This window comes from Homo sapiens, chromosome 1 (assembly GCF_000001405.40).
Source record: "Homo sapiens chromosome 1, GRCh38.p14 Primary Assembly".
Taxonomy (NCBI): Eukaryota; Metazoa; Chordata; class Mammalia; order Primates; family Hominidae; genus Homo; species Homo sapiens.
The window spans coordinates 22579895-22606129 of NC_000001.11; the positions used below are offsets into that span (position 1 = coordinate 22579895).

A 26235-nucleotide genomic window follows, 5' to 3' on the forward strand; every position below is an offset into this window, starting at 1 on the left:
CTTTAGTCCTCATCACCCATCCCCCAGCAGGCAGGCAGGAAAGGCCCCTGAGCGCTAATAGGACTGGGCATGACATAGGCTGACAGCCTCAGGTGATAACAGGTGGGGATGGAGTCCAGCTGGCTCCACTTAGGAGCCGTCTTGCCCAGAGATCTCTGGGGCCAGGATCTTCCCTGCAGCCACTAGGCCCTTTGAAGCCCTTCCCGGAGGCTCTCTGGTTTTCTTTCTTTCTCTTTTTTTTTTTTTTTTTTTTTTTTTTTGGAGACGGAGTTTTCACTTTTGTTGCCCAGGCTGGAGTGCAATGGGGTGATCTCAGCTCTCTGCAACCTCCGCCTCCCGGTTCAAGCGGTTCTCCTGCCTCAGCCTCCCGAGTAGCTAGAATTACAGGTGCCCGCCACCACGCCCAGCTAATTTTTGTATTTTTAGTAGAGACAAGATTTCACCATGTTGGCCAGGCTGGTCTCAAACTCCTGACCTCAAGTGATCCGCCTGCCTCGGCCTCCCAAAGTGCTGGGATTACAGTCTTGAGCTACCACGTCCAACTCGCTCTCTGGTTTTCTTAAGAAATCTCATTTCACATCCCCAATTTCTATGAGTCTTCTCCTGTCCCGAGCTCTAAACCCCAAAGCACCTTCTGTGGCATTTGCCCATTTCTGGATTTGTTCTGCCCTCTGCAGCCTGGTTTGCCAGGCTCCCCAGGCCACAAGCTCTCATGGTTACTATCACAGACAGCCCTGTGTGTCAGCTTTGCACTGGGAAGAAAAACAACCAACACCCCTATTGCCTTCACAGCTCATAGCGGGGCGCATCACATACCAGCTCATTTGCTCATTGCAGCAAGGCAGGTATCACAATTCCATTTTACAGATGGGGAAGCTGAGGTGTAAGAGGTAGTGTTACCTGCTTAGGCCTTACAGCTAGTGAGAGCTGGAGCCTGAAGACAGGTCTGTATTGCTCTGAGCCAGGTACAGGCTTTTAGCGTCTCCCTAGCCTGCCCCAGGCTGCTTTGTCCGCCAGAGCTGCGCCAAACCTCCCCTCATTCAGGTGGGGCTAATGAAGGACCTTAGTGATGATTTTTCGTCTTTGATGTAATAATTATCCATTCTGCTGAGCATCTACTGTGTCCCGGCATTGGGGATACAGGTACAGGGAGTCCCTGCCTCTGGGGACTTAGCAATTTCTTATCCTTACAACAGTCCTTTAAGATAAGTATTATAGTCCCATTTTACTGATAAGAAAAACTGAGGTCCCTCAACTTAAGTAGCAGAGTAGTGATCTGATCCCAGGTTGCCTGACTCCAGCACCTTCAATTGCTTCCTCTGTGCACAAAGCCCTCTGCAAAGCCCCACTTCCCTCCTCCCTGGGGTAGCATTCGGATGGATGGTTAGCAACTGGTACAGCATAAGTCATAACAATCTGGCTGGTTGGCCGGTGCATACGCACTCAGGGTCGGCCACCGTCCCCAAGTCTGGATTTAGCCAGCGAGTACAAATATGCCAATTATTTGTCCCAGGTGAACTGAACCACATCTGTCTGTAGGAAGAAGACCTGCCCTCCTGTCTTTGGGGTCAAGACCTCGCTTGGAGGTCTCAGGTAACGCTGCAGTCTCCCTGTGTGGCAGAAGAGGGAAGCGGAGCCCAGAGAGGGGATATGTCTTGCCCAATTTTCTCAGCACATCAGGGGTGGGGCTCTGAGTGGAAACCCCAGGGCCTGAGTGGCAGGACCTCACGGGGGCTGGGAGAGGCCAAGGCCACTCCTATTTCCTGGCACTGCTGCCACATTAATAACAAATAAAAAGAAATGCCAAAGTGGGGTTAGGGAATTGCAGCATATTTTGAATTTTACATTTAAATAATAATACAACGTAATTATGCCAGTTGCAAGATAATTACAGGTTTTATAAAAAATATTAATTCATAGTGCACTGCAGGCAGTGAGATTTGGGAACGGAAAGCCCGTTTTAAGTCGCACAAGGAAAGACATTTCTCAGCCCCGTTGGTGGCTTCTTTGGCTGCGTAACCTCATTTGGGAAGGTCAGCACGGGTCTCAAACTAAGGCCTTTCACAAATGGGAGCCAGGTCCAAGAGCCCTGCCTGGTCCCCCTTTCTACCCCTGGAGAAGCCCTTGACCTCTTTGGAGCTGCCCGGCTCCTTGGTGGATGGCCTGGGGCAAAGGAAGGGCTGGGAACAGAGTGGGGTACCTTTCCTGGGATACTTGAGATGTCTTCTGCAATCTGGGACTGCCCCTGCCCAGCCTGAGGGAGTCTTCAGGAGACCTGCTGAGGTCCATGGGGCCCCTGCCTGGTTTGAGAACATCCTGATCCCTTCTGGGCAGTTCTCTCAGCAAACAGTTAAGGAGAGGAAGGGCGTGGAGTCAGGGGGTCTCAGCTTGCCCAGTCCTGAGCCCTTGTCCTTCTAGTGACAGGAGCAGGGGTTGAGAGCCTGAGACCCACAGCAGGGGCCAGGCCCCCTTCAACAGCTGCCCTCCCTGCCTTGGGTTTTGCCCTTAGAGGTACCCTCAGAAGGTGGCCAGGCAGTACTTGATTTTGCAGAAGACAGTATAGCCTGGGATAAGGGACCCGCCAGGTCACATGGCTCTTTAGAGGCCTTGCTTAGATTGCACTCAGACCTCAAGAGACCCATGGAAAAATGTCAGAGCCATGTGGGGTTCGTCCAGTTTACCACTGGGGAATTGGAGGCCCAGAGAAGTGAAGTGACTAGCCCAAGGGCACACAGCGAGGGGTGGTTGATAGAATCTCACATCTCCCAACTCCTTGCCCAGAGGAAGCTCCCCACACTCCACAACTCCGGATCCAGTGACCTCCCCACACCAGACTGCACTTCCCAGCACCCCCCGCACCCTGGTTCACCCCAGAAAGAGGAAGGGCCTCTCAGCGCATCACCCAGCGGAGCAGCAGCTCAGAGTCTGAAGTCCTGGTTGCTGTCCTTCCTGTCACCTGGACGCAGAATATAAATCACCCTTCGCGGCCCTAATCATCTTTCTATAAATATCAGAGAGTCTCATTTCGGAGGGGGAGCAGGAACAGTGAGCTCTTTTGCCTTCCTGACTGTGTTTAAAATCTGATTTAGAATTAATTTCCTTTGGTTGTCCACCAGCGGACACCTTATTTGTCAAATCTCCGGCTCTTTGCGGGGGAGAGCAGAGAGGTGGCCAGGGCCACAGGCAGCTGCTGGCCTGACAGGCGGCCTGGGCAAGGTGCCCTCAGCAGGGTCAGGAGCCCCTCCTGGCTCGCGGCCCAACACCCGGGCACGTGCAGGCTCCGGAAGCACCCTGGGTCGACAGGCAGGGCCGGGCCCCAGCCCAGAGCCACTCCATCTGTCTCAGCCATTAATTCCCGGCCCAGCCTCCAGGTCTCTGGGCTCCCTGAGGCCTGGTGATTAGTATTCTTATTAAAGATTATTTTATTTTCATTGCGTGGATTAATCTGGCCTTGACACATTATAGCCATATGGGTATTAGCCGAGTGTGTGAGAACTGCCGACTGGTGAGCCACAGCGGCGCAGCCATCTCTCAGCTCTGGGACGGTGCTGGGAGGACGGGGGGAAAGGCCATAGCTCCAGAGGCTCCCCCGCCTGACTGCACATTCTGGCTCTGCTGGGAACCTGGGGCAAGGCATTCAGGCTCCCTGAGCCTCTGTTTCCTCTTCTGTCGAACAATTGTAAGAATTCCAACTACATCAAATTGTTATAACAACAAGTGCCAGGCACTGCCCTGGCATGAATTTATGTGTCTTCACTCATGTCATGCTTGCCATCTCCCTCTAAGGTGGGTAGAATTATGATCTCCACCTTAAAGACGAGGAAACTGACTTCCAGCACCTTGCCTAATGTCACTGAGCTCAGATAAAGGGGGTTAGACGAGGACAGGAACCCAGGTGCTACACCCGAGCTTCTGCTCGGGCCTGACAAGGACCAGGTGGGCCCTGGAAAGGGTCAGAGACTTGCAGGGCCAGCCGTGGTGCTGGCTTCCCTCAGGCCCCGCATCACGCCATGAGGCTTTGCCTGTCCGTCTGCCAATGCCGTGGAAGCTCCCTAAGAGCAGGCCCAGCTCTTACTTCTCTTGGGTCCATAGTAGAAGCTCAGTAAATGTTGGGGAAAGGAATAAATGAGGGAGGGAAGAAGCAAATGGTCTCTGAGATGCTAATCGTTGTGGATTGGATCATTACAGTGAGGATTACTGTCATTCAGCTCAGTAACAGGTTCAACAAATATTTGCTGACAAAATGCAAAGCCCTTTTCTGATGATGCCACCCCCAGCGGCCCCCGGGGCTCAGAAGGAGCCTGTGCCCAAGGCTGTGCCCCAGGACTGAGCCTCCCGGGGGGCTTCTGGGAAGAGGAGGCGAGATCACAGTGTGTCAGTCAAGACTCCTCACGACTCCGAGCTCCTAGACCTGAGCTCAGCCCCCAGGCAGACCAGAGCCCTCTTGGGATCCTCTGGAGGGGAGGGAAAGATGTTGCAACAATGGTGCGTATTTTCCCCCACTCTGCAACTTACAAGCTCTTTCTGGCTCTGCAGCCTTCTAGAGTATGAAGCAACTTCAGGGCGTTACCATTTCTCCTGACTCCAGGTTTTCTCTCAAGTTTGTAGAATTTTACAAATGAACCTGGTTTTAGCTTTTGTAATAAAGAGATACGATCAACATCCAGAGAAGAAATGCTCTGCAGTGGCCTGATGTCTTTGTAATTGAAGGTTCTCTCAGGCACTGAGTTTTCCAGAACAGGATTTAGTGGAGAGAGAACCACAGTGAGCTTCCCAGTGGTCCCTGTTGCAAAGGACTTCAGTTCCATGGACGGAGCCGGGAGCTGCCTGGCTGGGTGGCATTTGGCCCACCTGAACCTCTGGGGTCTCTGCCCAGAGCAGATAATGGTGGGATCCATTCAATTTGAAAACTCCTGCCTGGAGTTTAACAGCATCTGCCCAGGGCTAGCACTGGACCAGGTTCTGGGACATTGAGATGAATAAGGGAGTCGTACTCTGTTTGCAAGGATCTGCCCACGGGGGCCTCCCAGTCTAGAAGGAGAGTCAGCACTGACAAGCGAGTACAGCCATAGTGTTGCAGGTGGTGAGGCCAAGCAGGGGCCGCAGGAGCAGGGCGGGGAATGGTCGTTTCTCTGTGTGTGTGTGTGTGTGTGTGTGCGCACGCGTGTGTCTAGAGTTCCAGAAGGGACAGTCAAAATTAATCTTAAAAGAGGAGCTCAGTAGGTGGACAGAGGAGAAAAGGCAGCCCAGGAAGCGGGCACAGCCTGTGCAAAGGCCCCGAGGCAGGAATCAGACTGCTGGGTGTGGGGATCGGCCAGTGCTTTAGTTTGGCCTAAGGATGGGGGTGAGGGGCAGCACTAAACAAGGCTCCAAGTGGGTTTTGGCTGGGCAGGGAGGGATTTGAACACCAGGTTTCATTGTCTAAGCCCTGGGGAGCCTGTGAGGCATGAAACAGGCAGTGACTGAGTGAGATGTGCATTTTGGAGACTCCCTCAACCTAGGGTATCCCCCTCCCTGCACAGTGGACTCCTTATTCTTTAGGCCACAACTCAAATATCATCTCCTCCTCTGGGAAGTAGCTCCTCCCACCATTTACCCTTCCATCACCTTAGCCCCCTTGTTCTCTCCCTCCCTCCTAGCAGTGATCCCAGCTGAGAGCCAGTGGCTCTGGTTCACAGCCCTCCAAGGCCCAAACAGGCCTGGTCCAGAGTTGTGCTCATGAACAGTGGTTGACTGAATGCATGATCACGCAGGCAGCTGGGTGGGGGGAGGCAGGGCTGGAAGCCAAGTCTGCAGGCTGCTGTGGGTGAGAGATGAGGTAGGGTGTGGCAGTGGCTGGAGAGAGGGTCAGTCCCAGCCACAGTGACGGGGACAGTGACAGTGTGGGCCTGGGAGGGGAGAAGCCTGCGCTTCTTGGATAGTCACCCTCCCATGGGGGCTTGTAAAACAGACCCCAGGTACCGGCCCTGGCTCTTCTAACTCAGCTGTCTGTGGTGGGGCCAGGAATCTGTATTTTTATGGAGGTGGCTCCATGTCTGCCTGTGTTTGGGAGCAATGGGTCTTACCAGGTGTCCCCCCCCTTTCTAGTCGCATTCCCAGCACCCCCATCCCTGGCCTGCTTCCTCATCCCACCCAAGTCAGTTCCGGGGCATTTGATCCTCAGCCCCATGGCCCTGGCCCCTAGGCTGGCGTCCCACGTAAGAACCAGTGTCCCATAAAAGAGAGAAGGACAGCATCTCCACCCCTAAAGCTGGAGACAGGGCCTGGGGGAGGGGTCAATTAGAGGAGGGCTGGGGAATTTGGAGATGCTCAGGGGTGGGGCTCACTTTGAGGCTGGGACTCCCATGTCAGGGTCTGAACCTCAGCTCTGCCCTGACTGGCTGTGGAACCCTGTGGAAGACACAGGCCCCCTCTGCACTTCAGTTCTGCCCTCTGCAAATGAGGGCAGCACTGGGCAGTGTGAAGGTCTGCACCTCCATCCCTCTGGGGCACCCCCCAGGAAGCTGTGGGCCACAGTGTGAGCGGTCCCCAAGGCCAGCCAGGGTGGCCCTGCTGGCTCATGTGCAGCCGCCTTCTCCTCCACAGCCTGTGAGCTGGGCTTCTACAAGTCAGCCCCTGGGGACCAGCTGTGTGCCCGCTGCCCTCCCCACAGCCACTCCGCAGCTCCAGCCGCCCAAGCCTGCCACTGTGACCTCAGCTACTACCGTGCAGCCCTGGACCCGCCGTCCTCAGCCTGCACCCGTGAGTACCACTCCGAGATGCCAGTACCCTTGAGCCCAAGACTGGGCCGGGCCCCTGTGTTTGGTCCTCCAGGCCTCAGAGAGCCAGTTCTCTGCTGGTGGGGCAGGGGCGGGTGGCTCTCTTGAGCCAGAGGCCAGTCTGAGGTGGGGGGGGTGACTCTGATCCCTCCACGGTGGCCTAGACCTCTCTGGGCTCCCAGCCTCTGTCCTGTGTCACCTACACTGGAGGGCAGAATGGAGCTGGCCTCACTTCTTTCCCCACATCGGGCAGTTTTTGTCATCTTCTGATCTAGCAGCGATGCCGATGTCCTGGGGGCCAGGTGGGCAAGCCAGGGTGCTCGCCTGTGCGGAGAGGGTGAGGGTTAGGGCAGCAACCCTTCCATCACCATCATCTTTGATGAACTTGTTGGAACTGCTGAATGCTGAGAGCTGCCTTACATGTGTATGGTGTGTGTGCATATGTGTGTGTACCCATGGAGTTCGAATATCTGATTCTGTGTATGCCCTGGGGCCCTGCAGTGATTGTGTGTTAGCGTGTGTCTGTGTGAGCAGCTGCTCTTACAGACGACGCCTGTATCGTGTTTGGATGCCTGCATGTAAATGTGTGACGTGTAGTTGAGCTCACATATATAAAGGATTCGTCACATATATTAAGGATTCTTAGGAGGAGGTGTGTGTGTGTGTACATCTGGGTACCTGAAGGGGACTCAGAAGTCCTTGTAAAGCTTGAATGAGGGTGTCTTGTGAGCTCAGCACGTGTGTGTGTGCGTGTGCACACCTGGCCCTGCAAGGGTGCATGTGCCTGGAGAGGGTGTGGCTGCATGTGCACGTGCCCTGTGGACCTGAAGGTATGGGGGGATTCTGCACCCATGCCTGCAGGGCTGCGTGACTGTCCTACCTTCTGCTGATGCAGCGCCTGGATTCTCTCCTCTCATGTGTCCTAACGGGCCACTCATACTCCCATTCCAGGCCTGGGGAGGGACCACAGCCTGCTCAGCCCAGCCCAGTTGCCAACCCTGGGCTCTTGTGGTAGGGCAAGAGGCACTTCAGACTGTTCTGATTTTGCTCTGAATCTGCCCAAGCATCAGCCCCCATCTCCCGCTCCCATACATCCATCACCACCCAGCCCCAGCCTCCCTGCACATGGCAGGCGAGGGCCCAGGTGCATTCATGCCCACATGCTTGTGCACATACACACAGACACACACACCCACCCTCCCTCCACTGCCCTGCCCAGATCTGTGCATTTTCCACATGTGGGACCTGTTGGGGCAGAAAAGGTGGCCAGGTGACAGCGTGGGCACCTCAGGCAAGTCGAGTCTGGCCCCAGGTCATGGACACTTGCGTGAAGCTGGCTGGACTCTGGTTTCTTTCCAAACCCACAGTTCAGTGCCTTTAGGTTCTGGAAAGCTTAAGATCGTAAAGGCTGAGCTTTTAGTATTCTATACCCTTCCGATGTTAAAAATTCTCTTCTCTTCAAATTGTAAGATTCTGATTCCAAGATCTTACAATTCTATTTTCTGAAGATTTAAGATTCTCTGCCTGGAATTCTGAGAACTGGAATTCTGAGGCCAGGGGTCCCCACAGACCCCCATGCCCTCTTGGCTCAAACCCCCACCCCAGCCCCTCAGACCCCCAGCCCCACGTCCTGGTCTCCTCAACCAAGGGGTCACCCCTCTCTCTCCAAAGTCTTTGTGCTGCCCAGACAGAGGCTCCCATGCCCGGGGTTGGGGAGCGGCTGCTTGGTGCACACAGCCATGGGGATACACGGTGGGCTTCTGGGGGCCTCCACTTAATTCCACAGTGCGTGCTCAGTGGCATTTTGTATCGGATCCGGCACAGAAGGGTCAAGGAATAGATGTGGCTGCAAATACCTGGGTCACTTACACACAGGGTGGCTGCTGTGGGCACCCCCGGGACTGTGCGGTCTCTCTCCCACTCTGGGTGAGCAGTGGGATGTCCAGACCCTTGGATCATGGTGGTCCTGATGGGTGGGGGGGATGGGGTCCCAGGGTTCTGTGCCCAGACTCTGACATTGTGGTCCCGGTCTGATGGCAGAGACACAAACTCTGCCCTTGGGGAGGCTACAGAGGATGGAGTAGATGTGGACCTTATCCTTAAGGAGCCCTAAATATGATGGGGAGCCCTTCCCTTGGGGAGCCCCAGGTCTGATGATAGGAAGACAGGACAGCCCAAATAAATAACCACTGCCCCATCTGTCATCCTCTGCCCTCAGGGCCACCCTCGGCACCAGTGAACCTGATCTCCAGTGTGAATGGGACATCAGTGACTCTGGAGTGGGCCCCTCCCCTGGACCCAGGTGGCCGCAGTGACATCACCTACAATGCCGTGTGCCGCCGCTGCCCCTGGGCACTGAGCCGCTGCGAGGCATGTGGGAGCGGCACCCGCTTTGTGCCCCAGCAGACAAGCCTGGTGCAGGCCAGCCTGCTGGTGGCCAACCTGCTGGCCCACATGAACTACTCCTTCTGGATCGAGGCCGTCAATGGCGTGTCCGACCTGAGCCCCGAGCCCCGCCGGGCCGCTGTGGTCAACATCACCACGAACCAGGCAGGTAGGCGGAGAAACTCCGTCCCGCAGCGTCCTGGTCCCCCAGCTTCCCCTGCCTCAGACCCATCCAGGGATCAGAGCTCTGCCGGGGACGTGCTGTGGGCCTTTAGGCAAGTGCCTCTCTGGCCCTGCGCTCCTCACCAGGACCCAGAGCTGGAGGCTCTTCATTGCCTTTAGAAAAGTGGAACACATTCTATAAGTAAGAGAAATCCCAAAAGCTCAGAGGCAGGCTAGTGTGGCCGTCGAAAGCCTAGGTTCCAGAACTTTCCCTCTCTGTGCCTCAGTTTCCTCCCTGGTGCAATGGGAATAATAGTACCTGCCTGAGGTCCTCTCAGGAGGCTTAAATGAGAGGAATGAAATTGCTTAGCCCAGCACCTGGCCCGTGGTAAATGCTCAATAAATGTCATTAAAAAATAAAATCACTCGGATGATCATTTTCCAGAACAGCTGCTACAGCTGCCCTTGGGATAGACTTGGCTGCACTGGCTTGGACCACAGTAGTTTATCTATCAGTTTCTGGCCAGTTGGTGGGCTGAATTCACCCCCGGAACCTCTTTCTTCCCAAACTCTGGAGGACCCTGCCCGTCAAGTGACAGCGTGACCCAAGAGCCCTCCTAGGGCAGCTTCCTATTAACAGCCACCCTCACCTGTGCCCAAGACCCTCAGGCCCCCACCCACCATCTCCTCCCAAAACCACACAGCCCTGGCCTCGCAGACAATATGCCCACCACGTCACAGAGGAAGAAACTGAGGCCTGGAGAGCACCCAGGGCCACCTGACATAGGAAGTGGCAGAGGCAGGGCTCAAACCCAGGTCTGTGTCACTCCCAAGTGAAGCAGGTCCCCCCACTCTGAATCTAGGGCATGCTGCTCCCTGACGCCAGGGCCTCAGCCCTTCAGAAGATTCCCTCATTCGACAGCCCTCGTGGAACACCCACTAAATGCCAAGTGTGGTGCCAGGTGCTGGCAACACAGAGAGAGAGTGAGCTATGTGCCCCGTGGTAGAGCCCAGCCCTGGCCCACCTGTCTCTAGGCACCTGAGGCCCCTGGCAGGCTGGTCCCAAGTGGAGGGGAGAGCAAGAGAAGTTCACAGCATTCAGGCAGCATCCGGGATGCCCCAACATTAAAGAGGAAACTAGACCCTGCCTTGAACCTGCCTTCCCCTCCGGTCACCAGACCATTTCTCTTCCCATACGACCCTCTCTGTCCGTGCCTGGCGTATCTACTTCTTCCTCTCCTCTGCGGGACTTCTCCATGTCTTTCCTCACCTCTTCACAGAAATCAGCAGCCCTGCGTGGCCACATCCATGGGCGCCTCTTCCCCCTTTCATTTCCTCCTCCTGGAAACACTTTTCTCTTGCTCGTGTGTCCCAGCCCACGCCCATTTTCCATTGACCTGTGTGGCCTGTCCCTCTCTGTCTTTGTAGCCCCACCTCCTTTAAATGGCCTCTAAAGGCCATGGGTCCCTGGGAATGTCCTGGGCCCTCCTCTCTTTCCTGTGTGCCCAGATCCATCTTTTCTGGGCGGCTGTTTCAGGGCCCATGACTTTGAATTCCACCTTTGTGCTAACAACCCCCAACTCGCGGTCACCAGCGAAGACCTCTCCCCTAGGACCCAGCTGCCCACTCCTGTCTCCATTCGGTTATGTGAAAAACAAACAACCCTGCCACACCTGCACCTGCCCCGCCCTAGGACATGGCACCTCCAGACCCAAGCTGTCATCCTTGACTCTCATGCATGTCACATCCATCCCCCCCTAAAGCCCCAGGGACCTCCCTTCAAAATGACCAACTGACTTCCACCCCCCACGAGTCCATGCCTGGACCACCACAGGAGACCCCTCTTGCCTCACCCCCACAAGACATTCTCCACACCAGTCCTGAGTGAGCTTTAAAAATAGAAGTGAGGGCTGGGTGTGGTGGCTCACGCCTGTAATCCCAGCATTTTGGGAGGCCAAGGCGGGAGGATCACTTGAGGCCAGGAGTTTGAGATCAGCCTGGGCAACATGGCAAGACCCCATCTCTACAAAAAAAATTTTTTTTGAGACAATGTCTCTATCTGTCACCCATGCTGGAGTGTGGTGGCACAATCACGGCTCACTGCAGTCTTGATCTCCGGAGCCCAAGTGATCCTCCCACCTCAGCCTCCCAAGTAGCTGACCAAGGGCACACACCACCATGCCCAGTGATTTTTTTTTTTTTGTAGAGATGGGGTCTCCCTATATTTCCCAGGCTGATCTGAAACTCCTGGGCTCAAGTGATCCTCCTGCCTCAGCCTCCCACAGTACTGGGATTACAGGCATGAGCCACCATGCCCAGCACCACCGCCCCCCAAGTTTTTTAGATGAAAATACATGAGAACAAGCTGTCCTCAAAGCCCTTCACAGCCTAGGCTGAGCGCACATGCAATTCAGACATTCTCATGGCCTGTGGACCCACACAGCTTCACCCCTGCCTGCCTCTCCAGAGCACCTCTTTCCCTGGCTCACTCTCTTCTGGCCATGATGGTCTCCGGTGCCCCCTCCTTGAACACACTGGGTCTTTCCCTGCTGCTAGGCCGTGGCCTGGCTTCTCCTTCGGAATGACTCACTCTTCCCCTGACATTCCTATGCCTGGCTCCTCTGCCCTGGAAGCTCCCCCGACCACCTCAGCTGAAACGTGCCAGTGCCCTTCCGGGCCCTGCAGTGGTCTTCTCCATCACAGACAGCACCCCTTCCTACCTTTCCCAGCACCAAAAGAACCCCCATTCTCCTGTTTATTGGACGCCCTGTCTCCTTTCCTGGGACAGAAGCTCCTAGAGGGATGTCTTGGGCACTGCAGAGTTCCCGGCTCCTAGCCCCGTGCCCAGCATGTGATAGGCACTCAGGAGTCCTAGAGGATCAAGCGACAGCTCTAAGCAAATGTGGAGGACTGTGCTCAAAGACCACCTGCCCCTCCTGCCTCACCATCACCACTTCTCTACAACCAACTCCTCCCTGGAGCCCTCTCGGACGCGAACCCCATTCCCCTCCCGCTCTGGGCCCTGGTCTCACTCTGTCTGCCCCCATCCCACAGCACCTCCTGCCTTGGTTTTTAAGAGACACACCCTGTGTGTCCCTTGCAAACAGTGGCCTCATCGAATCCTCCCCTCCCCCTGGCAAGTGGTGCTCACTAGCTTCACTTTATAGAAGGGGACCTGGTGTCCGCAGACAGCAAGTGACTCACCCAGGGTCCCAGCTAGCAAGAGAGGGAGCCAAGTCCCGAACCCACGCCTGGCTCCCAGACTGGTGGGCTTTCCCCTGGACCACACCCTTCCAGTGCAACTCTGGAGCTGCTTCTTAATTTCTCATGCCAGAATCCTCAGCAGCATTTATTGGGCACCTACTGTGTGCAGTCCCTGCCCCCAGGGAGCTCCCGGTTGTGCTGGGGATGCCCAGACATGAGGGAAGACTTAGTCACATAGGGCAGAGAGTCAGAACTCGGGGTGAGCAGAGGGGAGGAGGAGGCCTGAGGGCTGGAGGGGCAGGGAGGACAGGGCAGTTCCCTCTGTTTGGCTGTGGCGTGGCTGTGTCTGACACCTCCTAGCAGCCTCCCCACAGGGCTGACCGCACCTGAGCCAGGAGGGAGAGATGCATGAAGAAAGGCATGGGTGACGCCGTCAAGGAGGGAGGGGTGGGCGGGCAACCAAGTGTGACTGGGAGAATACTTGGGGCTCAGCTCACCCCCTTCCCTCAGCATCCAGAACTGTCCCAGGTATGCCCTCCAAACCCAGGCAGTGAGGGGCCAGTTCCTCCATTCTTTCTACACTTCTTTCTCCTGACCTTTCCTCCTTCCTCAAGCACTCCCAAGCAGCTGGTCCATGCCGGGCCCTGGGCTGGGGAGGGAGGCTCAAGCGTCTTCTTGTCCAAGCCAACCCCAACATCCCAGACCATGCCAGGCCACGCCAACCCCAGGGGACTGACCCCAAGTGGCCACCAGCGATTTGTTGGGAGAACTGGAGGGTGCTGGCTGTCCTGGGGCTGGGGCAGGACCATCAGGAAGCTGAGCAGGGCTGGAACCAGGATCCCCAGGTGGAACCTGGGAAGGGTTGGGAGAGAGGCCACGCCTTGTCTCCCCTCCGCCCATCTGACGGGATTGGCCGCCCCAGCCCCGTCCCAGGTGGTGGTGATCCGTCAAGAGCGGGCGGGGCAGACCAGCGTCTCGCTGCTGTGGCAGGAGCCCGAGCAGCCGAACGGCATCATCCTGGAGTATGAGATCAAGTACTACGAGAAGGTACCACGGGCAGGACGGAGTGGGAGGGGCTGGGCCAGCAGGGCAGGGCCCACTGACCACCGTCCCGTGGCAGGACAAGGAGATGCAGAGCTACTCCACCCTCAAGGCCGTCACCACCAGAGCCACCGTCTCCGGCCTCAAGCCGGGCACCCGCTACGTGTTCCAGGTCCGAGCCCGCACCTCAGCAGGCTGTGGCCGCTTCAGCCAGGCCATGGAGGTGGAGACCGGGAAACCCCGTGAGTGCAGGGAGGGGGCGTGGGCGCGGAGCAGCCCAGGTGCCAGGACCCTGGGGTCGGGGGGTGGCCGAGGAGAGAGCTAGTGCAGGCTGAGCCAGTGCCAATGCAGGATTTCTGCTCTCCTTGCCCTACCAAGTGGGGTTGTCGGAGTTTTTTATTTAATTGAGACAGAGTTTCACTCTGCCACCCAGGCTGGAGTGCAGTGGTGCAATCTCAGCTCACTGCAACCTCCACCTCCCAGGTTCAAGCAATTCTCCTGCCTCTGCCTCCTCAGTAGCTGGGACTACAGGCACCTGCCACCACACCCGGCTAATTTTTGTATTTTTAGTAGAGACGGGGTTTCACCATCTTGGCCAGGCTGGTCTCGAACACCTGACCTTGTGATCCACCCGCCTCAGCCTCCCAAAGTGCTGGGATTACAGGCATGAGCCACTGCTGCCAGCCTAATTTTTTTGTGTATTTAATAGAAATGGGGTTTCACCATGTTGACCAGGCTGGTCTTGAACTCCTGACCTCAGGTGATCTCCCACCTTGGCCTCCCAAAGTGCTGGGATTACAGGCATGGACCACTGCACCCGGCCTCTGTCAGCATTTGCACAGATGAAAAACCGAGGTTAGGAGAAGGACGGTCGCTCGCCTGAGGCGGCAGAGATGGTGACAGCCCCCCACACACCATGGCTGGTACTGAGATGAGTGTCAGGGTCTGGGACCAGCAGCATCGGTCTCACCTGGGGACTTACCAAAAATGCGAATTCCCAGTCCTCACCCCAGCCCTTCAGAAACTCTGTGGGTGGGCCCAGCCATTTGGGTTTTAACAAGTCCTCGGTGATCCCCAGGCACTGTCACATTTGGGACCCTCTGACTTCGAGGCTGTCCCTTTCACTCTCCTCCTGCCCCAATCTCCAGCCGGAGTCAGGGTCTCCTGTATGTGCACCCACTGCGTGGTGGAGGTAGGGCAGAGCTAGTGACCGCCCACCTGGCGCTCCCTGGGCGTCTGAGTGCCTCCAGTGCTTGTAGGCCTGGCACCCCCTGGAGACCACCCAGATGGGAATCCTGAGCCCTCCATCCCATGTACTGTGTGGCCTCAAGTCAATTCCTCGAGTTCTCTGAGCCTCTTTCCATCTGAAAACTGAAGATAGTGCTGGGGTCTCTCTGGAAGGGACGTGGGGAGGGTTTACTGGGGCTTGAAGGTACAGCTCTCAGCACACTCCGTGTTGTCACTGTCAGGATAACAGGGAGGACAGGCATTTATTGGCTCAGAGGACACGCGACTCTTCTCCGGTACCACAGCCACAAGAAGCAGCGGCACCAGCATTAGGAAGCTGGGCATCCAGGTCTCACGAACTTGAAGAGGAAGCTTAGTAGAGGGTGGGGTGGGAACAGAGGAGGAACTGGCCTGCGCCCTGACTCTGGGCTGGCTCATGGCTCTGGGCTCCCCACTGGCCCCAGGGTCACAGCCAGGCAGGCTCAGAGGTCTGCCAGACCCCTGGGCCCAAGGCCAGGGCTGAGAGCCTGGTCCCCCAACCCTGGCTTTCCCCTGCAGGGCCCCGCTATGACACCAGGACCATTGTCTGGATCTGCCTGACGCTCATCACGGGCCTGGTGGTGCTTCTGCTCCTGCTCATCTGCAAGAAGAGGTGGGTGGTCTGGCCCAGCCACACCCAGCCCCTCCTCTCAAGCACCGTACCTCCTGCCTGCCCCCAGCCCCACCGAGCCGGTGGTCCCCGTGTGCCTGGGGCTGGCTCACTTACAAACACACCACCTCATTTAACCTAGTGACATGCCAGTGATGTAGAGATTCTGACCTCACTTTGCAGGTGAGTAAATTGGGGATCAGAGAGGTTAGTCTTCTTGCCAGAATCACACAGCTGATAAATGCCAGAGCTAGGACATGAGCCTAGGTCTGTCAAACTCAAGCCCATACTCTCAGTTACTTTGTCCTCTCCCACTCCATTTTGGAGGGAGGTGGAGACAGGATAGTGTGTGGGCTTGGGATCCCAGACAATGAGAACTGTAAGGATCATCTAACTGATGGAGAAATGGAGACCCAGGGAAGAGAAGGGGCTGGCCAAGGTCATCCATGTAGTTGGCCACAGAAGCCTCATCTCCCAATGCCCCCACCAAGGGTGGTTTCATATAACATGGGGCTAACAGCATTGTAGACTTTGCCAAGAGGGTCAGGTGGACTTGAGGGCATTTTGAGGATCCCACAGTGCTTGTGACCATCATGGCGGTCACAGTTTAGCTGGGTTGAGAGCCTGGAGTCAGGGACTCTCCCCTGCAGACTTTGTAAGGAGCAGGAGCTGACCTGTCAGGGGAAGGGGCATGAAGAGAGAAGCCATGACTCGTTCCCTGGTTGGGGTCAGGTCCCGGGCTAGGGGTGGCCTGGCCTCAGGCAGGGCGGTGCCCTCCTCTGCAGGCACTGTGGCTACAGCAAGGCCTTCCAGGACTCGGACGAGGAGAAGATGCACTATCAGAATGGACAGGGTGAGTGCAGGGGCCCGGTGGTCTGGGGCAGAGGGAAGGCCACAGGGGGACCCAGTGCTGGACTGGGGGTGGCACAGATGGGAAGGAGGAAGGTGCCCAGTGAAAAAACCAGAGCCCAAGAGGCAGATTCCAGGGTGTCACAGAGACCTGGTGCCCCAGAGGGCAGCGCCGTTCATGCCTCCTGGACTCTCAGACCCCATTCAGGATGCTAGAGATCCTCTCCCCAGGGAAGGGCACACATTTGTATGATTTCGGGGTGGGAGTGCATATACTCTTGGACAAGAATCCCTACTACGGAGAGATTTTCAGGATCCTGTAGAGATCCCAGACAACAAGGCGAATCTGGAGATGCCTCCCTCCACACCCCACTCCTGTGCCCGTGGCAGACAGCATCAAGCATGGTGCTGATTCCCACCAGGCCTGGGTGCAGCCTCAGACTCCTCCTTAACTACTTTTTATTTTTATTTTATTTTATTATTTTTTATTTTTTATTATTTTTTTTTTCTGAGACAGAGTCTCACTCTGTTGCCAAGGCTGGAGTGCAGTGGCTCAATCTCAGCTCACTGCAACCTCTGCCTCTGGAGTTCAAGCAATTCTCCTGCCTCAGCCTCCCAAGTAGCTCAGATTACAAGCATTCACCATGCACTACTAATTTTTGTATTTTTAGTAGAACGAGGTTTCACCATGTTGTCCAGGCTGGTCTCGAACTCTTGACCTCAAGTGATCCGCCCGCCTCGGCCTCCTAAAAAGCTGGGATTATAGGCATGAGCCATCACGCCCAGCCAGAAACTATTTTCAATGAATCAAAGTTGACCCTTGTGGCAAAAACTTATTTTTGCTACATCCCTACTCCAGAACAATTTAGAAAGATCTCAAGGACTGTAAAAGTGACCCCAGAAAATGACAGACATGCCCAGAACTCACTGGAGACTCCACAGCCCCATAGAAACCCCAGAGCGACTCCAGAGACCCCACTTTCACTTGGGAAATACTTATGGGGTGCGTGTTGTTTGCTACCACATCCAGAGACTCCCAGAGACACCCCTCACCCCACCCCAGACCCATCCCAGGCCCAGGGAATGTCAGGAAAAAGCAATCTCTCCTGGGCCCCACTGAAGGCCCTCCTCCCGCCCCTCAGCACCCCCACCTGTCTTCCTGCCTCTGCATCACCCCCCGGGAAAGCTCCCAGAGCCCCAGTTCTATGCGGAACCCCACACCTACGAGGAGCCAGGCCGGGCGGGCCGCAGTTTCACTCGGGAGATCGAGGCCTCTAGGATCCACATCGAGAAAATCATCGGCTCTGGTGAGTCTCAGGGGTTGTGAGGGCGGGGCCAGCATGGGGCAAGGTGGGGGCACCCAGGGCAAGGTGGGGGCACCCAGGGCAGAGGGAGCGTGTGACCCAGGGGTCTGGCAAGCCCAGGGGGTCCAAGGGCCTGGGAGGCTGGGGGAGTCTGAGGGTCCCACTGCCCTCCCTCCACACCTGCCCCTCTCGGGGCCTGCAGGAGACTCCGGGGAAGTCTGCTACGGGAGGCTGCGGGTGCCAGGGCAGCGGGATGTGCCCGTGGCCATCAAGGCCCTCAAAGCCGGCTACACGGAGAGACAGAGGCGGGACTTCCTGAGCGAGGCGTCCATCATGGGGCAATTCGACCATCCCAACATCATCCGCCTCGAGGGTGTCGTCACCCGTGGTAGGTGCCGGGCAAAGACAGCCTCCCCCTGCAGTGCCCCTCCTGCCTGGAGAGGCCTCTGGGTCCATCCCCTCATCCATCCTGCTCTGCCCCACCTGACCCTGTCCTCTTGGTTCAGGTCCCTGAATGACTCGGGGTGCCCAGAGCCTGGGACCCCAGTGGAAACCCAAGGCACCCTGGGGTTTCCAGTGCTGGCACAGGTCCTGAGATGGTGGTATGCTCCTGGGGTCTCTGATCAGCAGCCCTGAGCCCCAAACCAAGAGCCACCCTCTCCCTACTGCCCGCCCAGGCCGCCTGGCAATGATTGTGACTGAGTACATGGAGAACGGCTCTCTGGACACCTTCCTGAGGGTGCGTGTCCCACCCCTGCCTCTTGCATGGGCTTGGGGAGGGAGGTCCAGTCTGGGTGCTGGGAGATAGTGCAAAGCCCTCTAAGCCCCCTCCCTGGCTTGGACACCACAGGCCGGGGGACAGGAGGCAGGTATAGGGAGGAGGTCTTCGAGTTCAGCCAGTCGAACTGCCTTTCGGCCCCCATTGCATGAAAGTCCCTCTGCTCCATGGGATCCTGCTGCCCTGCACACAGGCTGAGGGGGGTGCCTCTGTGGGAATCCAGGCCCCACCCAGCTGGGGGGCATGCTGGCTGTGGTGGAGACGGCTGGATTCCCAGCTCCTGCCCACAGTTTCTTTGCTGGGTGCTCTTAGGCACAGAGCTTAACCTCTCTGGGCCTCCATCTCTCGTTCCACAAAATGGGTAAGCAGTCATTGCTGCCCCACGTACCTCGCAGGGTTGCTGTGAGGGTAAATGAGACCAGGAGAATAACCCTTAACTGCAAAGTGCTTCAGAAGTAGTGGCGCACTTGGCAAATTGCAAAGCACCGTCTCAACTCGAGAGCATCCTACAGATGGGAGGTGTTCCTGTTCACGGACCAGGCGCCTCGCCGGGCTTTCCTGAAGTCCAAGCCATGTCCCCCTGCAGACCCACGACGGGCAGTTCACCATCATGCAGCTGGTGGGCATGCTGAGAGGAGTGGGTGCCGGCATGCGCTACCTCTCAGACCTGGGCTATGTCCACCGAGACCTGGCCGCCCGCAACGTCCTGGTTGACAGCAACCTGGTCTGCAAGGTGTCTGACTTCGGGCTCTCACGGGTGCTGGAGGACGACCCGGATGCTGCCTACACCACCACGGTGCGTCGCCCACACTCCTTCCGGCTAGACTGGGGAGTGGGGAGATGGCGCCGGTGGCACCCAGGGCCCAACCATTCTGCAAGTAGCTGAATGAAGTTGGCAGTTTCGGGGTGGCCCTCAACCTGGGGCACATCCTGTTTCTCCTCTTCACGCCAGTGCCTTCCTCTGGGAAATGGGAACAGCCTTGCCTGCCTTTCCTCTGTCACCAGGTGGCCAGGGGAGACCCCAGGGCTGGTCCCCACAGTCACTCACCAGGAGACTTCAGGAGGGTTGGAATCTCCCCGAATTGTACCCAGACTCCACATCTGTCTCTAAAGTTTGCCTAAAACCCAGCTGTTTTCAAACACATTCCATGGGGATTTGGACCTCTCTAGAGGTGCCTTAGGGGCAGCCTTAAAGGCAGGAGCTGAGTGCATGGGGGCCAGTTTTCACCCTGGCCCCAATAGGAGCCCTCCCTTAGCCTCTGTCCCACAGCCTCTGGGTAAGGTTTCGCATGGAGAAAGGATCCTGTGACAACAAAAGAAAGAAGGAAGGAAAGGAAGGAGGGAGTGGAGAGAGGGAGGGAGGGAGGAAGAAGGGAAGGAAGGAAGGGAGGGAGGGAAGGAAGGAAAGGAGGGAGGGAGGAAGGAGGGAAGGAAGGAAAGGAGGGAGGGAGGAAGGAGGGAAGGAAGGGAGGGAGGGAAGGAAGGAGGGAGGGAGGAAGGAGGGAAAGAAGGGAGAGAGGGAGGAAGGGGGAGGGAAAAGAAAGGAGGGAAGGAAGGAGAAAGAAGAAAGGAAGGGAGGGGAGGGAAGAGGAGAGGAGGGGAGGGAAGGGAGGAAGGGAAGGAGGGAGGGAGTGGGGGAGGAAGGAAGGAAGGGAGGGAAGGAGAGAAGGGACGAGGGAGGGAGTGGGGGAGGGAGGGAGGGAGGGAGGAAGGAAGGACAAGAAGGAAGGAGAGAAGGAGGAAAGGAGGGACGGAGGGAAGGAAGGAGGGAAGGGAGAGAAGGAGGGAGGGAGTGGAGGAGGAAGGAAGGGGGGATGGAGGGAGGAAGGAAGGGAGGGAGGGAGGAAGGAGAGAAGGAGGAAGGAAGGAGGGAAGGAGAGAAGGAAGGAGGAGGGAGGGAGGGAAGGAGGGAGGCAGGAAGGAAGGAAAGAAGGAGGGAAGGAAAGGAGGGAGGGAGGAAGGTGGGAGGGAAAGAAGAAAGGAGGGAAGGAAGGACAGAAGGAGGAAGGAAGAAGGGAAGGAAGGAAGGGATGAGGAAAGGAAGGAAGGGAAGAGGAAAAGAAGGGAGGAAGGAAGAAGGGAAGGGAGGAGAAAGGAGAAGGAAGTGGGGGAAGAGAAGGAAGAGGAAGAGTTAGAAAACGACTAGGCTGTGGCCCCTGAGCCCCCTTGGCTTGTGGCTGGTATTGGCCGAGCATCTGCTTGTACCAGGCGTCTCACTCCCTCCTTCCTTCGTCTCCACAGCGGCTCTTGTGAGGCCTCCCTCAGGACAGGTGCTCTGGGACGGTGGGGGCTGTGTTGTCCCTCTGGACTGGAAAACAGGACCCCAGTGTTTAGCTCTCTGACTCAGACGGCTCGGGGGACACCCTGCCAGGCCTGGGCAGCCCCTCAACTCTTGTGTGTCCGTCGCAGGGCGGGAAGATCCCCATCCGCTGGACGGCCCCAGAGGCCATCGCCTTCCGCACCTTCTCCTCGGCCAGCGACGTGTGGAGCTTCGGCGTGGTCATGTGGGAGGTGCTGGCCTATGGGGAGCGGCCCTACTGGAACATGACCAACCGGGATGTGAGTGCCAAGCCCTGGCAGGTCCGCGGGCGGTGGAGCCTCAGGGTGCAGGGAGGGACGGCTGAGCCCAGCGCTGATCCCCTGCAGGTCATCAGCTCTGTGGAGGAGGGGTACCGCCTGCCCGCACCCATGGGCTGCCCCCACGCCCTGCACCAGCTCATGCTCGACTGTTGGCACAAGGACCGGGCGCAGCGGCCTCGCTTCTCCCAGATTGTCAGTGTCCTCGATGCGCTCATCCGCAGCCCTGAGAGTCTCAGGGCCACCGCCACAGTCAGCAGGTGCCTTGTGCCCACCCCAGCTCCTTGAGGCCCAGCTGCCTCCCAGTATTGCCCCAGATCTGTCCCTGGGACAGTTTGGCCCTGACACTAGGACCAGGCCCAGCCTGGGCCCCCGGCCCCTGCCCTGCCGAACCCCTTCCTCAGCCTGCTTCTTCTGGGGGTCCAGCCTCCCGAACCCTCTGGCCACTTACCAAGAGCCCCTGTGCCTCAGGTGCCCACCCCCTGCCTTCGTCCGGAGCTGCTTTGACCTCCGAGGGGGCAGCGGTGGCGGTGGGGGCCTCACCGTGGGGGACTGGCTGGACTCCATCCGCATGGGCCGGTACCGAGACCACTTCGCTGCGGGCGGATACTCCTCTCTGGGCATGGTGCTACGCATGAACGCCCAGTGAGTGATGGGTGGGGCTGGGGCCCCATGCGTGTGGGGGCAGGGGGGGGGACCCCTGCCGGGGAGGCTACAGGTCCAGATCCATGGCCCTGGCTGCGTGCGCGGCTCCCAGCCTCCCAGGCCCAGCTGGCCAGCAGCACCCTTCCTTCACAGGGACGTGCGCGCCCTGGGCATCACCCTCATGGGCCACCAGAAGAAGATCCTGGGCAGCATTCAGACCATGCGGGCCCAGCTGACCAGCACCCAGGGGCCCCGCCGGCACCTCTGATGTACAGCCAGCAGGGCCCAGGCAGCCACCAAGCCCACCCCAGGTCATGCCAGCGGCAGAGGACGTGAGGGGCTGGCAGCAGGCAGGGCGGCCCCAGGCCTCTGCCCTCCTCTCAGGTGCTGGAGGAGCTGAAGGCTTCGCCACAGGACCTGGAGTTATCAGGGGTCAGGCGCCTGGGAAGGGGCCTTTGGTGGCCACCCTGGTGAGGACACCTGTCCCCCAGGGCAGGCACCTTCTCTTTTCCAGAGCCTGGGGCCTCCACGTCACAGAGTCCAACAGGGACATCACTCGCCTGCCTCTGTGTGCGTGCATGTGTGTGTGTGGTGGGGGGTGTTCTCACAAGGTCATGGGATCTCATGTGAACAGTGTGTGATCAAGTGTGTCCACCCCTTCGGGTCTCAGCATGGACGTGTGCATGTTATGAGCGTGTGCTTATCCGTTAAGGCTGGAGGCACATGTGGGTGATGGTGGATGATGTGTCATGAATGAGGAGGTGTGTGAGCAGGGAACTCAGTGTGACACCGCCAGGTCCAGCACCCATGGGGGCGGGGGAGAGGCTCACCCCTACGTCCCCCCACACCTGGAGGCTGGAGCCAGGGGCCACTTCTGAACTGCACCAGCACCAGGCCCACCCTCGTCTCTGCCTGGGTGAGCCCACCCCGGCTGTATCTCAGGTCTGGGTCCTCCCTCTAGCCGAGGAGGCCACCTGCAGCCTCCACCCGGCTCTCACCGCTGCTTCAACAGGAAAACAGGGTTCCCGGTCAGTCCGGCTGGCCGCCTTCATGGAGGCATCATGGCAGAGCACATGAGATGTCCTCAGCTGGGCTTGGCTGCCTGGCCAGGGCCGGGGGCTCAGCAGCCTCCTCTAGCCTCTGATGCCTTCCCTCCACGGCCCAGGTCTCCTCACTCAAAGTCCCTTCGCCAACCTTTCAATGCCCAGCCCTGACACCTGCCCTTTGTCCCCCAGGCCTAGGATCAGGGACCAGAGGATCCTATCTTCTCAGCACCCAGCCCACCCCTTCCTGTAGCATATGGGGAGACTAAGGCCTGGAGAGAGGGGTGATGCCCCGTCCCAGGTTGCACTGCAACCAAGTGTCAGAGTCGGGGCTCCGGCCTCCTGCCAAGGCTCTTGTCCCCATACACCATCCCACAAGGGCGCTGGGGGTGGAAGTGCCCTGGAAGCCCCTCCCCTCTCACACTGACCTCCCCCCTTACGGCCCACCAGGGTATGTAAATATCTCTTTTCTACCATGTCAGAATATTTTTTCCTCACTCCTGACAATGCAAAAATGGTCTTCAAAGCACATAAAAAGCACCCAGGGTGAGAAAGCCCCATCCCGGGGGCCGTTGGCAGGCAGGGAAGCAGGAACCCCACCGTGTGCCCCCTGCCAGCCCCAGAGGGAGTGGCGAGCCCAGCTGCCCAGCCCTGCCCCCCCTCCCCATAGCCAGCACAGCTATCCCGCGGGGACACCAGCACTGAGCCCCCTCTCCCTCCTGCAATAATTCGGGGAGTCTCAGCCCCATCCAGGTGCCGCGGCCAGCTCTCTACACCTCTATATATTATATTACTATATAGCCGAGCTGTTCTTCCTTCCTATGGAAGTCGGAAACATGGTCAGAACACGATCTGGGGGGGGGATCCTGTCTTCCTCCCCACCCCACCCCACTCTTACCCAATTTCTGGGCTCTGGATCCTCACAGTCATGGAGGCACCGTGGGCCTGGCACTTGCAAAAGTGTGGCCCCTCACTCTAGTGTGTGGTCCCTCTCAGGGTCCTGGGGATCTGCCTCTCTGTGGTCTCCATCCTGACTCTTGAACTTACCCACAATAAGAATAAATTCTGCCTCATCTTTGCCTGCGTCCCCCATTTTTTCCCCATCTCTGAAAGCTTGACATCTCCTGTTGGGGAAGGGCCAGCCTCATACTGAGCACCTACTGTTTGCATCCCATTCATTTTTCTCCCCTCTGGTTTTCTCATCTGTCTGGGGAGGTAGGATTAGTGCATGGATTGTACATACGGGGAAGCTGAGTCTTGGTTCAGCCAACCTGCCTAAAGCCAAGGACAGACCGGGGGATGAATCAGAACCTAGATTTGTCACACCCCAAATCCCAGGCTCAGCTAGGAAGCACCCCACAGCCCCAAATTCTCTCTTCCAAGAGGTGCACATGGTACTTAACCGTAGAGTCCAGTCCCAGCTGGACACTGCCCTTGAGTTCTCTTGGCGGAGAAAGATGCCCCCCTGGAAGAGGAATACACAGGGAAAGGACATTTCCTGGGAACAACTTCCTCAGGATCAAGGGGGGGGGCACTGGGAGACCTGGGTGCTGGGAGGCAGAACAGGGAAGACAGGGTCCGAGCATCTTCCCGAGTTACATCAGGGAGCCGAGGACTCTGCTCATGGGGAGAGGGAACAGCAGCAGGGGTTCTGGGCAGGAGACAGAGACAGAGGCAGAGCAGATAACAACAGCATCCATTTGCGCCAGTGGCTCAGACATTTGGAAAAGGTGCTCCAGGGTCTTAGAGATGACGGAGTGGATGATCTCCAGCTAAAAGAAGGGCTTCACTCCTGAACCCCCTCAAACTGGGGAAGTGGGAACAGGCAGAAAACACCTACACTGCATTTCCTACATTGTCTCACTCAGAATCACAATAGCCCTATGAGATTGAGAATATCATCCCCCACTTACACATGGGCAAAAGCTTGCTTGGAGAGGCCAATGTCCCACATGGCAGAGCCACCACGTAAAGCTAAATCTGTCTGATTTCAAGCCAGCTATGCTTCCCCTGAGACTCCAAACTAAGCACCAGGCCCTTTCCCCACAAAACCAGTTGTTTCCTATGAGGAATAATTTGTTGCTACAGACTTCTCTTCCCTTAAGGGGAAGAGACCCTAACATCCTATTGGACGATAGGATCCAATCATCAGATCCTAATCAACACCTGCTCTGTGCTGGGCACCACTGGGGGTAAAAGACAATGAGATGCAGCCCTTCTTCTTAGAAGCTCAGAGACTAGGTGGAGCTGCAGACTGCACAAAAGAGGTTCCCTCAATCAGATCCAATGTGCTAAGTGTCCAAAAAATGGAGCACACAGAAGTATTCTAAGAGGGTCAGAGAGAGCCTTGACAGGCAGGTCTGTCATGGAGGACTTACTGCAGGAGGAAGCATTTCAGTTAAGCACTGAAGAGTGTGAAGGGTTTGGAGGTTGATTTCCGAGGCAGTCCTTTGTGCAAGGCATGGAATGCAGAGGAGAGGAAGAAAACAGCCAGAGCAGAAACAAACCATGTTCATGGATGAGGAGCCTCACCGCCACAACGCTGGCTACGCCCTTCCAATTTAATCTATACATTTTATTTCCAATAACAATTGCAGTGGGGTTTTCCTGGCAACTTGACAGAGTCATCCCCAAATGTACATGGAATAATAAAGAACCCAGAATAGCCAAGACAATTTTGAAAAAGAAAGAGGAAGAGGAAGGGAACCTCACCCTATCAGGTATCAATAGGCACTGTGGAGCTCTAATAATTAAAATAGTGTGATTTGGTCCCAGGAATAGACCAACAGATAATAGAACAGAGAATAATGCCTAGGGGAAGATCAAAATATATAGGAGAGTGTGAGACAGGACAAAGGGTAAAATGGTCTTGTTAACAGATGATGTTGAACAATGGAATACCCCTACTGGAAAACATAAAATTGGATCCCTGCTCACACCACTCACAAAATAAGTTCCAGGTTGGTTAAAGTCCTAAATGTGAAGAGAACACTATAAAACTTTTTAAAAGAAAACAGAGGAAAGTAACTTTATGATCTTAGAGTAGAAACTAAACAAAACACAAAAAGCATAAATGATTTTTAAAGTGATAAATCTTACTACAATTAAGAGCTTCTCTTTGACAAAAGATGAATAGATTTGTTAAAGCCACTAGCTGGGAGAAGGTATTTGCAGCCCGTATAAGCAAGAGACAATTAGTTTCCAAAAGAATTTTTTAAAAAACCTCTAGAGAATCAATCTACCAAAACATTCCAGAGCAATAGGAAAATGGGCAAAAAATGTGAATAAATACCAGAGGAAGAAATTTGAAAGGCCAAACAAGATATAAAAGAGTCTCAACATCACTAGTAAACATGGAAATGCAAATTGAAACAATAATGAGATGGCTCATTACACCAATCCGATTGGCAAAATTAGTGTCTAACGGGAGTATTGATGAAGATATGGGGGAAATACCAATGTCTGTAAACTGATGGGAATTTAAATTTGCACAACTACTTTGGAGAGCAATTTGAAAATGCTTGATAAACTTTAAGACGAGCAAATCTAGGATCCAGCCAACTTTGCCACTGATGTGTGATTCTTAGGTTAAGTTTCCTAATTGGGGCCTGAG

General features: G+C 56.4%; 1 protein-coding gene across 8 annotated transcripts in view; it reads left to right on the forward strand.

The window, feature by feature from the left end:
- EPHA8 (EPH receptor A8) overlaps positions 1-23701 on the forward strand; it is a 40107-nt gene extending 16406 nt beyond the window's left edge. For 5 of the 8 annotated variants that reach the window (NM_020526.5, XM_011540969.2, XM_011540972.2 and 2 more), the window contains 14 exons: positions 6586-6741; positions 8977-9312; positions 13432-13556; positions 13630-13792; positions 15336-15429; positions 16212-16279; positions 17418-17582; positions 17782-17967; positions 18257-18318; positions 18944-19153; positions 20767-20916; positions 21004-21194; positions 21406-21579; positions 21733-23701. In NM_020526.5, the coding sequence (NP_065387.1) occupies positions 6586-6741; positions 8977-9312; positions 13432-13556; positions 13630-13792; positions 15336-15429; positions 16212-16279; positions 17418-17582; positions 17782-17967; positions 18257-18318; positions 18944-19153; positions 20767-20916; positions 21004-21194; positions 21406-21579; positions 21733-21847 (2195 nt within the window). In that variant the 3' untranslated portion in view covers positions 21848-23701. Of the gene's footprint in view, positions 1-6585; positions 6742-8605; positions 8685-8976; positions 9728-13431; positions 13557-13629; positions 13793-14310; positions 14474-15019; positions 15127-15335; positions 15430-16211; positions 16280-17417; positions 17583-17781; positions 17968-18256; positions 18319-18943; positions 19154-20766; positions 20917-21003; positions 21195-21405; positions 21580-21732 lie in introns of those variants that run through there. The other 3 variants (XM_011540975.4, XR_946576.3, NM_001006943.3) reach the window with 3 other exon arrangements.
- Positions 23702-26235: the final 2534 nt, after the last annotated feature.